Below are 12,338 nucleotides of genomic sequence, written 5' to 3'. Positions count from 1 at the left end.
AGGAAATTGGACATACACACACACACACACACACACACACACACACACACACACGCACACAGGAGAACACTATGTGAAGGTTGGATTTATGCTGCCACAAGTCAAGGAATGCCAAAGACTGCCAGCAAGCCAGAAGCTAGGAGAGACATGAAACACATTCTTGCTGACATCCTTCAGAAGAAACCAACCCTGGTAACACCTCTGGCCTCCAGAACTGAGAGATAATAAAGTTCTGTTTAAGCCACCTGGTATGTTGTATTTTGGCAGGACAGGTCTATACTGGAGGCATTACCGGCCTACTATACTATGGTTGAAATCTGCATTTGCTATACTGTAGTGAGTTGTTACCTAGAGGTGAGGACTGGAAGTTCCAACCTCTTAGCCCCTGCCTGACACCCATCAGTATTTTTAATGGCCTTTGTATTTTCCTTTCTCTCCTCTCTTCCCCTAGGCTGTTGTAATGTGATATGAAGGTTAATAGGATCCCATTAGCACTTCCTGGTTTGTCTACATTATGATATAATGGAGTGGCAGGTTCTATATAATTGGAACAATTTGTTATCATTTTAGACCGTAATCAAAAATTGAACATGGGTTTTCCCAAATGTCTCTGGTGAGAGACTTAGTGCACACAAATCCTTTGTAAAAATAAGATCAAGGCATTTGATTTTATTCTTTATGTATCTGCCTGGTATCTCTAACCTTGAGGAAGCCTGAGGTCAGGTTTCCAGAAATCAGTCCATGAATAATTTTCTCAATTCAATCAGACCTTCATAAGCCTCTGTGGGTTCAGCTCAATAAAAAATATTTGAATGGCCAGGCGCGGTGGCTCACACCTGTAATCCCTGCACTTTGGGAGGCCAAGGCAGGCAGATCACAAGGTCAGGAGTTCCAGACCAGCCTGGCCAATATGGTGAAACCCCGTCTCTACCAAAAATACAAAAGTTAGCCGGGCATGGTGGCACATGCTTGTGGTCCTAGCTACTGAGGAGGCTGAGGCAGGAGAATCCTTTGAACGAGGGAGGCGGAGGTAGGTTGCAGTAAGCTGAGATTGCACCACTGCACTCCAGCCTGGGCGACAGAGCGAGACTCCATCTCAAAAAAAAAAATTAAAAAAAAATTTGAACATCTACAATGTGCCAAACACCATGCTAGGTACTAGTGACAGAGAGATGTATAAGACATGAAAGTATTCACTGCCTTATAGGGGAGTCAGACACATGAAAATGTAATTACATTCTAATATGATAAATATAATAATGTAAATATTTGCAAGTACTGAGAATTCTGGTAAACATCAGAGAAGGCTTCCTGGAGGAAATGATGCTTTAACAGGTTTTGAAAGGTAAATAGAAGTTTCCCAGAGAAAGTAGAGAAGAACATTCCACATATAAGAGAATAGCAGATGCAAGAGAATGAAACAGCATGATGTGTTTAGAAAAAATGCAAGTAGTTTAGTACTGTGATGGAGAGCAGCAGGAGATGAGACAGGAACAAGACAATTTCCCCAGCTGCTGCTGTTCTTCTGTGTTGGATCACTATGACTGTCTAGAAGTATGTGGATAAGTGTTACTGATAGGCAGTGTAGATTCCTTTTTTATTTTTTATTTTTTTTAAGAGACATGGAGCCCTCCTCTGTCGCCCAGGCCGGAGTGCAGTGGCACAATCATAGCTTACTGCAGCTTCAAACACCTGGGCTCAAGGGAACCTCCTTTCTCTCTCTCTCTTTCTCAGCCTCCCAAGTAGCTGGGACTACAGGCATGTGCCACCATGCCTGGCTACTCTTTAAATTTTTTAAGAGACAGGATTTCAATATATATTGCCCAGGCTTGTCTCAAATTCCTCAGGTGATCCTCCTGCCTCAGCCTCCCAAGTAGCTGGGATTACCAGCATGAGCCACAGTGCTTAGCTGCAATTTCATTCTTTGCCCCTACCTGCCTGCCTGCCTTCTTTGAGTGTAGACCTCTAGTCTGTGGCCAGCATTCTAAAAAATATCACTTATGGTTAGAAAGTAAACATCCAAAATTGAAGTTTTCCATTTGCCTGACTTTGTAAAACTAAAGATAGCTTATCAGAGCTTTCCTGGTTAGACACAAAGATAATCAGATGAATATGTCAACAAATTATGGTAAGAATTTTTTGCTGCATTAAATTAAGATAGCAGGGCAGAATTAGAGCACTTGACCAGTTTATGGTTTATATAGAAGACCTGCCAAACTATTTGAGCCTTTATCGTTGCCTATTTCTTTACCAGGCTGCAACCTCTTCTGTGGTTTCCGAGTCCCTGGGCCTGTAAGCTTTGATAGCTTGTTTAAAACAAAAGCTTAATACTGTATTTTGGTATTATTTTAAAGTGAGGGAAGGAGAGAGAGAGAAAGAGAGAGAGAGAGTGTGTGTGCGTAATCTCCTTGTAAACTTGAACCAAGTTTAGAGACGGTTTTAGAGACGAGTGCATGTGAGCACGCTCATTGGTTCTCTCCCCCTCCTCACCTTCCAGTTATATATTTTCTTTTGGCTTGACTGTTACAGTACTAAACTGCATAAGGCCTTAAAGATCAGGGCAGGGTTTTTGTTATTGTGGTCTCAGTACTGACTTGTATGTGCTCTACTCTGAATGCATTGTAAGCATTCAAAATTTTAAAACTCCTGTATTATCAGGAAGTATTTACAGTATAGTTTTTCCACAGTGAAATTTTCAGCAGCTCAAGCCAAACCACAATGTAGTAGGTTCATACTTTTCACTCTGTAACTTTGTCCTTCCCACCCATTTGTGAGATCCAGAAATTGTAACACTTAATGTGTAGCAAATTAGAAGATAAAAGTATTTGATACGTTTTTCAAGGATTTTGTACCTCATAACATCCTAATAAGAATTTGGGGAGAGAGATGAGATTGAAAAATAGAAATGTATAATGTCAACAAGAACTTAATAGGGCTGTGTGATAATTATTTTGATTTTAAAATAACCTTTTCTTGCTTTGTTAAGAACTACAGTTATCCCTTTGGGGACTTTAATGGTACCCCAGCTAAGTGGCTACATCTGGATAGGAGAATACTAAAAGGTCTACCATTAGGCAAGAGCTGTGGAGAAAGCAATTAGCCATGTAACTGACATAGGACCAGGCCTGGCTGAATTGCTGCTGGGATTTCTCTGCCTCCTAGGCACTGGTCCTTTAAAGTTTGTTGAGCATTTAACCCATCCAAGTAAGTAGCTGCCATCTAAGGAAAGATAATGGATCTATCCTTGTTAATTCTTAAGCGTAGTTCCCAAGAGTGCCCTGGAGTTTGATAAAAAGCCAAACACTGGGTATTGAGGAAGAGGGGCAGCGAGAAATAAGAAAACATGCTGCTCCAGTCTAAAACTCCATTCTTTAGTGAGGAGTGATCTTTAACTGCCCCAGTTTCCAAAGCAGCATTGTAAGGTGCCACTCTCTTACCATCTTGTTCTTCCTAAAAGCCCAGTGTATAGCCATTGTTTCTAAGGAAGCTTGAGGCAATAGGTGGTGATGAGATGGAATTTATTTGGTATATTATGTGAAAAAGAAAACAGAATTCAGCATTAGGATACAACTGATAAATATTCATGAAGATGTAGAATAAAATAATTTCTTGTATATTCCATTTCTAAGTTCCTTAGATAGAAAATGAAGTAGAATCTATACATATTGAAAATCGTATATTGGTTAGGAATGGTTTCAGATGCAAATACCTAACAGTAGCTTAAAACTGTGTGAACACAGGCTGGGCGCAATGGCTCACGCCTGTAATCCCAGCACTTAGGGAGGCAGAGGCGGGCGGATCACAAGGTCAGGAGTTCGAGACTAGCCTGACCAAGATGGTGAAACCCCATCTGTACTAAAAATACAAAAATTAGCTGGGCATGGTGGCGTGTGTCTGTAATCCCAGCTACTCAGGAGGCTGAGGCAGGAGAATTGCTTGAACCCGGGAGGCAGAGGTTGCAGTGAGCCAAGATCATGCCATTGCACTGCAGCCTGGGCAAGAGAGCAAGACTGCATCTCAAAACAAAGCAAAAACAAAAACAAAAAAAAACTGTGTCAACATTTATAACACAAGGTGTCCAGAATTAGGACTGTTTCAGCAGCTAAGCAAGTTTATCAAGGACCTAGGTTCTTTCTCTCTGCTGTACCATTTTTAGCTTTTACCTTTTAATCCTCATTCCTGTTGCCTCACTATCAGAGGATGGGAAAGAAATAAGGGGCAGGTAGCATCAGGAACTCTCTTGTTCTGGCTTTCCCTTTTATAAGGAGACAAAAGCCTTACATCAGAAGTGCCATCCTCCACCCCCACCACGGTGGATTTCATTGTCTTATTGGCCTGAACTGTGTGACAGGTTTAATACCAGCTGCATAGGAAAAAGGAATATCTTGCTTTTCAGCCTTTATAGTGAGGCAAGCAAGAGAAAATGGTTGAAAAATGGGGGTTGGGTTAAGAAACCAATAATGTCTTCCTCAAACCTATTGCCCCTTCCCTTTCACTGCCTTACTCTCCCTTCTCCTGAGCAATCCAGTTATACAAGGCATTAATTGACAACAGTCTTCTCAGGACTGATAGTTTATAGTTTATAGCTGATATACTTTGGCTGTATCCTCTCCTAAATCTCACCTTGAATTGTAATAATCCCCATGTATTGTGGGAGGGACCTAATGGGAAGTAATTGAATCATGAGGGGCAGGTTTTTCCCATGCTGCTCTCATTGATAGTGAATAAATCTCACTAGATCTGATGGTTTTATAAAGGGGAGTTCCCCTGCACATGCTCTTCTTGCCTACTGCCATGTAAGATGTGACTCTGCTTCTCCTTTGCCTCCCGCCATGATTGTGAGACCTCCCCAGCCATGTGGAACTGTGAGTCCATAAAACCTCTTTCCTTTATAAATTACCCAGTCTTGGGTATGTCGTTATTAGCAGCGAGAGAACAGGCTGATACAATAGCCTTATTGAAAAAAGTCATAAGAGAGTACTATTAAAAAGAGAAGGGGGCCAGGCACAGGGGCTCACACCTGTAATCCCAGCACTTTGGGAAGCTGAGGCAGGTGGATCACTTGAGGTTAGGAGTTTGAGACCAGCCTGGCCAATATGGTGAAACCCCATCTCTACTAAAACTATAAAAATTATCCGGGTGTGGTAGCACACACCTGTAATCCCAGCTACTCAGGAGGCCGAAGTACGAGAATCACTTGAACCTGGGAGGCAGAGGTTGCAGTTAGCCAATATCATGCCACTATACTCCAGTCTGGGTGATGAAGTAAGACTCTGCCCCCTGCCCCCCTCCCCCCCGCCCCCGCCCAGAAAAAGAGAGTGTGAGAGAAGAAAGAGCAAAGAATTATACTTTCTGCTTGACTATGGTGTTTAGGAATCACATAGCAGAAACTGAGATGACCAGGACTTTGGCTAAGTATATCTATACCTATGATGAGGTTGTATTTCTCAATCCCATCAAATAATAAGTAACATTTGAAAAAAAAAAACTAATCTTTTTTAACCCAAACTGGTAAGAAATTATATTTACCACCCTCTTTCCTACATTGCCCAATCCCTGATGGAGTTGGCCTAAATGACCTTTGGAGCTCAGTTTCCTTTTTGCTGTGATTTATTGGGCACCTGCAACTTACTTGGCAGAAGACTTGACCCATGGGGCTCATGAATTTTCACATTTGTCAGGAGGAAGGAACAAGGAACCAAAATAGAAGCAAGTATTGCAGTATGGCTGAGGGCTTAAAACTTAGGTACTTAGAGGAATAGTTATACCATTGGTCTGTATAATGTAAAACAGAGGTGTACAATCTTTTGGCTTCCCTGGGCCACATTGGAAGAAGAATTGTCTTGGGCCACACATAAAAATATACTAACGCCAACAATAGCTGATGAACTAAACAAAAAAAAAATCGCCAAAAAATCTGATAATGTTTTAAGAAAGCTTACGAATTTATGTTGGGCCATGTTGAAAGCCATTCCGGGCTGCATGTGGTCTGCAGGCCAAAGGTTGGACAAGTTTGATGTAGAATAATAATGCATTGCTATTAAACCCAGATCATAACGATGAAGACCCAACAACTCAGTGTTGACTATGGGTTTAAAATTCTTTTTCTGTTCCCCTCTAACTAGCTTGTTGATTTAATTGTAACATACTTTTCCTTTTGTCAGATACTGGAGTGTACGATTTTTTAAAGGAGGAATCCAGTTCTTGACACTGTTTGACACCTATGAGATGCTCATATGCTCATATTCTGCCTGTAAAATTCAAATAATTGAGATCTTAAAAGAAAATGCTCAAAAGGATGTGGTTAAAATTACCACTAGTGGTTTGGGGATTGAAGAAGGAACTTAAAAGGGAATGGCTTGTAAATTCACATTTTTTTGCACAAGGTATTTTAGTTGAGTTTAGTTTATATTTTGAAACAGAGTCTTGCTCTGTCGCCCAGGCTGGAATGCAGTTGTGTGATCTCAGCTCACTGCACCCTCCACTTCCTGGGTTCAGGTGATTCTTGTGCCTCAGCCACCCAAGTAACTGGGATTATCAGGCATGCACCACCATGTCCAGCTAATTTTTATATTTTTAGTAGAGACAGGGTTTTGCCATGTTGGCCAGGCTGGTCTCAAACGCCTAGCCTCAAGTGATCTGCCCACCTCAGCCTCCCAAAGTGCTGGATTACAGGCATAAGCCACTGTATCTGGCCTCACAGGACATTTTAATTGGTAATAAAATTCAGTGCTGGAATCAGATACCCTAAGAAAGTGAATTGACCCACAAAGACCATGGCACCAGTGTCCTTTCATACAACAGCAGTATAACTCTAGCATACTGTAATTGTCTTAGGTGCCTTTCTGTAATAAAGGGAATCTGGTATCAAAAAAAGTAGGCAAGAGGATACACTAATTCTCACTGATTTGAACAGTGAAATTTACTTTGCAAATGGAGTTGGAAAGCCATCAGATCTTTCTGAAAGTGTGCCATGTTAAGGTCTGAGAATCCAAGAGTGATAAAGCTTTTCAACAGTTACTCTTATGTCACTATATAAAACTTTACCCAATCACTGAAGCAATAATTTATTGAGTGCCAAACTGGGCAAGCCCAGAGGTGGGGCAGGTGAAAAGGATAAAAAATAAGTGTGAGACATGTTTTTAACCCTCTAGTAGTTTACAGTCTACTTTGTTTGAGACATCCTTGTTCTGTTGCCCAGGCTGGAGTGCGATGGCACAATCTTGGCTCACTGCAACCTCTGCCTCCAGTTCAAGTGATCCCTCCCACCTCAGCCTTCCTAGTTGGGACTACAGGCACACACCACCACACCTGGCTAATTTTTTTTTTTTCTTTTCGGTAGAGGTGGGGTTTCACCTTGTTGCCCAGACTGGTCTCAAACTCTTGGGGTCAAGCAATTCTCCCGCCTCAGCCTCCCAGAGTGCTGGGATTACAGGTGTGAGCCACTGCGCCTGCCCATACAGTCTACTTTAAAAAGATAAAAATTGTGAGACCATATAGACTAAAATTCTATATGTATAATTATATAAATAAATTTCCATTTGAATACTATACAAGTTCAAGAAAGATAGATCACTGAAGATTGGAGTCATTAGAGAAGCTTTCAAAAAGCTATTGGATTTCAGCTGGGCCTAGAAAAATGGTAGTATTCCAGTAAACAATGGAGAGAGGAACACATTTCAAGGAATATGGGAATGTGTGTGGAGGCACAAAATTGAAAATAAATAGACTTCGCAGATCAGTAAGAGACTGACCTGGGTAGAAAGTGTTAGTAGAAGAATAGCAGAAAATAAAATCATAAACAAGGACAAGAGGACAGAAAGGTAATGTATTTTACATTCCTTTAAAATCTCCTTTGGGAATGATTTCAAACCCACCCCACCCCCAAGAGTCAAATCCTTCCTAATGATTTAAATCCCCATTGCTGCCATTTTGTCTTTTTCCTGTGGTTACAATTTTTGAAATTCTATTTGTTTCTTACTCTGATCTTCTTGCATCCTTGCATTAGGGTATTCTTGGTCCTGACTGGGCCCAGCCTCTGGTTCCGTAGGAAAAAGCTGGTGTTTAAGATAGATACCAACTCTCCTTTTGGATATGGATGATGAAAATTGTCCCACCATTGCACACATGGGCAAAAAAAAATTTTTTTTTTTTTGAGATGAAGTTTCGCTCTTGTCCCCCAGGCTGGAGTGCAGTGGCACAATCTCGGCTCACCGGCCTTCTGGGTTCAAGTGATTCTCCTGCCTCAGCCTCCCGAGTAGCTGGGATTACAGGTGCGTACCACCACACCCAGCTAATTTTTTGTATTTTTTAAGTAGAGACGGGGTTTCACCATGTTGGCCAGGCTGGTCTTGAATTCCTGACCTCAGGTGATCTGCCCGCCTCGGCCTCTCAAAGTGCTGGGATTACAGGCGTGAGCCACCGTGCCCGGCCTACATGGGCAAAAGTTTTGTAGGTTGGGGTTGCTTTGTAGCACTTTAGTGAGACGTGCTAGTTGGCATTTATTCAACAAATATTAAGCACCTACTGTGTACAGATACCGTTCTAGGTGCTTGGGATTTGTCCATGAACAAGCAAATGGAGAGATCCTTGTTCTTGAGGAGCTTACATTGTAGCAGCAGCATGGCAGCTAGACCAACTATCAAATAATATCTCTGCTTTCAAAATTCCTTTTCTTTATACAGTGGACTTATTTGTTAAGCTGCCAGAATCTTTAAGATATTCCAACAGCCTTCCCAAAACAGAAAATTCCTCAATCCATAGACAAATGAATTTACCTTAGGTACAGTTTGGTGGGTTGTCCCCGCTCCTCTGTTTAGTTTGTCCTCCTTCATTCCCCTGACAACATTTTATCTTTGAGTATTTTGGGGGAAAGTTTTCTGTTCTTGTTTTTCCTCTATAAATTATGTCGCTCACACATGCAGCATATGAGCTACTGTTGCTGTGGTTGTATTTTATTTGTTGAACAATCCTGTACTTTGAAATGATTCATTTAAGAGCCATGAAACATTCAAAGCAGGATGTGTGACTCACATAGCAAACAGTAGCATCTTTTTTTTCCTTTTATTTATTTATTTCCCATCATTGGCTAAACATCTTGAAGTAGAGAGCAGGAGCCTAGGATTGACCAAGGTAGAAATGAAAGTTATGTTTGGTTTGAAGTATGTGTGTATTTAATCCCTTCCTTCTTCTCCCTTTCCCTGCTTTCCCAAACTTAAATGATGTCTGACATTGGGAACAGAAGCACTGCAGTGAGGGCAAGAAGCCTTGTCAAGACTTTTACAGATCTTCCAGTTTCTTCTTTCAGAATATGTGATCACTTGAAGTGATTAATTAAATAGTGTTCAAAAAAAAGATCAGTTATTTCTTCCTTCACCTGCTCAGCACCAGCATCACTATTCTAGAACTTACTCCTCATAGTTTTTCTCAAGTTTTCTATGACTTTTTTTTTTTTTTTTTTTAAAGAGACAGTCTTACTCTGTTGACCAGGCTGGAGTGCAGTGGTGCTGTCTTCTGTGACTTTTTCATACTATTTCCTTTCATCAAAATACGCCCCCAAGTATATGGGTGCAGATAAACCCAGCTCTTTGGAAGGCTGAGGTGGGATGATCACTTGAGGCCAAGAGTTTGCAGTCAGCCTGGGCAACATAGCAACACCCCATCTCTAAAGTAAACAAAACAATAGCCCATGGTGGTGCGAACCTGTAGTCCCAGCTACTTGGTAGGCTGAGGTGGGAAGATTGCTTGAGTCTAAGAGTTTGAGGTTACAGTGATCTAAGATCACATCACTGCACTCCAGCCTGAGCTACAGAGTGAGACCCTGTGTAAAAAAAAAAAAAAAAGAAAGAAAAGAAAAAACCAAGCCCAAGTATAGATACTGAATTAAAAGAAAGCAATTCTGTCCATGAAGTACTGCCAAACCCAGAAACTTTGGAGAAAAGGGGTAGTTAGGTTTCAGCATAAATTACTTTTCAGACTATCACAAATGTAAACTCAGTTCCTTGTATTATTTCTTGATAGTTTACACACTCAGGGCTCATTTCCTAATAACTAAAGAGTTCTGATTGTCTTCTTACCCCAGTCTACTCTTCTAAAACAAGGAAAGGGACATGAATTCATCATAGGTCAGGATATTAAGAGCGTTTTTAAATGTGAGGCAAATCCTCATGAAAACGGGTGCTGTGGTGGCCAAAAGCAACATTTCAGGAATGTATCTGGCTAGGAGTTGAGTGCATATTGCAGAGAAATTTCATTGGTCACAATGCTTTACCAAGGAGTTAGCTTGAAACTGTTAGATTCCTAATCCCCGTATGCTTGTGCCTGGCTCAGAGTCAAAAGCCAAAAATTTAGTTTTAGTTTGGCCTTACGTCTCATTTGCTCTGAGCCTTCTTTTCGGGTCTGTTCAGTGCTGCTATTTCAAAATACGTCTAGAGAATAGGTTAAATGAGGTTAGGAAAAGAACTGCAGTATCTCTAGGCATTTACTTGTTTAGAATTATCCTGCAAAAAAAAAAAGTCACTTTTTTACTATAATACCTGTCTCTCTTGAAATTTAAAAAAGTAAAGAGGAGGCCGGGTGCGGTGGCTCATGCCTGTAATCCCAGCACTTTAGGAGGCCAAGGCGGGTGGATCATGAGGTCAGGAGTTCAAGACCAACCTGGCCAACATGGTGAAACCCTGTCTCTACTAAAAACACAAAAAATTAGCCGGGTGTGGTGGCAGGTGCCTGTAATTCCAGCTACTTGGGAGGCTGAGGCAGAAGAATCACTTGAACCCAGGAGGCGGAGGTTGCGGTGAGCCGAGATCACACCATTGCACTCCAGCCTGGGCAACAAGAGCGAAACTCCATCTCAATAAATAAATAAGTAAAATTTTAAAAAAGTAAAGAGGAGGGAACTAGTTGAATATGTGCTGTGTCCAAGGTACTGTACTGTTTTATATAATTATTTCACTTAAAAGCTTAAGAAAACAGGAATATATGGGAGGCTTCAGTGATGTCTGAAATGTTTCATGCCTTGAACTGGGTAGTGATTACACAGGTTTATGCAAATTTAAAAATTAAAAATTCATTGAGATGTACACTAAGGATTTTTGCTTTTTTTTTTTTTTTTTTGAGATGGAGTCTCACTCTGTCACCCAGGCTGGAGTGCAGTGGCATGATCTTGGCTCACTGCAACCTCTGCCTCCCAGGTTCAAGTGATTCTCGTGCCTCAGCCTCCCGAGTAGCTGGGACTACAGGCACGCGCCTCCACACGCAGCTGATTTTTGTATTTCTTGTAGAGACAGGGTTTCACCGTGTTGGCCAGGCTGGTCTCGATCTCCTGACCTCAAGTGATCTGCCCACCTCTGCCTCCCAAAGTGCTGGGATTAAGGATGTGAGCCACTGCACCCAGCCCATTTTCTGTATTTTATACCTCAGTCTTAAAGGGCCAGGCATGGTGGCTCATGCCTGTAATCCCAGCACTTTGGAAGGCTGAGGCAGGAGGACTGCTTTTGAGCCCACGAGTTTGAGACCAGCTGGGCAACGTAATGGGACCCCCATCTCTAAAAAAAAGAAAAAAGAAAAAGAAAAAAGTAAAAAAATCTTAAGACTTTATTCATTGAGATTTATTCCTTATTTACAGTTTCCACCATCTGTGTTCTTCAGGCCATTCCTTTTTTTTTTTTTTTAAATAGAGACAAGGTCTTAACGATGTTGCCCAGGCTGGTCTTGAACTCTTGGGCTCAAGCCATCCTCCAACCTCGGCCTCCCAGAGTGTTGGGGTTACAGGTGTGAGCCACTGCGCCCAGCCCATCCTAACTCTTTACTTAGCTCTGTTCATTTAGTAAGTTTGTGAGGAGGAGAGATTCTAGATTCTCCTATTACAGAAGGATAGGTGAGAGTAAAACTTACTAGAAATGGAAAGAGTTTTTACCAAAGATGTCTCATGGAAAGTTAATTGTTAATAGGAAATGTACTTTCCCTGTCCATTCTGGAGGTAGTATCAGTTTTCAGATTGACTTCCTCATAGTCCTGACATTCTATTTTATGCTTCTTAGTATTTCTTAAATGAAAAGAATCTTCTTTCTTGCTACTTTTTTTCTTCATAAGGGAGTAAAAATCAAAAGTAGCCAAAATTGTTTTGATTAGCTTCTTCTATATTATCTTTTTGTTACTAACAAGGCAGTGCATGAGAATTCCATTCAGTCTGTTCTCCCAAATACAGTGCCTTCTGTCTCCATCTTCCTAATTTTCCTATCCTAAGTATTTGCAGATCTGGAGTCCATCAGCCATTTTATAAAATGAGGCTGGAAGTTTTTTGCCTGTGCTTTTTTTCTTCCAAGTTTCAGGTCTAAAAA

The 12,338-nt window shown here is 41.2% G+C and overlaps 2 protein-coding genes and 1 long non-coding RNA gene across 15 annotated transcripts in view, besides 1 other annotated feature; 2 read left to right on the top strand and 1 right to left on the bottom strand.

Annotated features, from left to right (window-relative positions):
- Nucleotides 1-12,338, top strand: part of ATF7-NPFF (ATF7-NPFF readthrough) — a 119,695-nt gene that overhangs the window by 55,592 nt on the left and 51,765 nt on the right. The window lies entirely within an intron of this gene.
- The window catches only part of ATF7 (activating transcription factor 7), a 118,527-nt gene that overhangs the window by 55,592 nt on the left and 50,597 nt on the right, over nucleotides 1-12,338 (top strand). The window lies entirely within an intron of this gene.
- The window catches only part of LOC124902937 (uncharacterized), a 50,712-nt gene that overhangs the window by 15,287 nt on the left and 23,087 nt on the right, over nucleotides 1-12,338 (bottom strand). The gene's annotated exons all lie outside the window — the stretch shown is intronic.
- Nucleotides 1,166-1,735: an enhancer, noted in NCBI's record as "OCT4-NANOG hESC enhancer chr12:53962840-53963409 (GRCh37/hg19 assembly coordinates)". NCBI's record gives its function as "activates a minimal SCP1, AML or CMV promoter by ChIP-STARR-seq in naive H9 embryonic stem cells {active_cell/tissue: H9 hESC(naive)}" and the evidence as "EXISTENCE:reporter gene assay evidence [ECO:0000049][PMID:30033119]".

This window comes from Homo sapiens, chromosome 12 (genome assembly GCF_000001405.40).
Source record: "Homo sapiens chromosome 12, GRCh38.p14 Primary Assembly".
NCBI classification, from domain to species: Eukaryota; Metazoa; Chordata; class Mammalia; order Primates; family Hominidae; genus Homo; species Homo sapiens.
The sequence above is the reverse complement of the archived record's forward strand: the minus strand, read 5'-3'. Positions and strand labels throughout refer to the sequence as shown.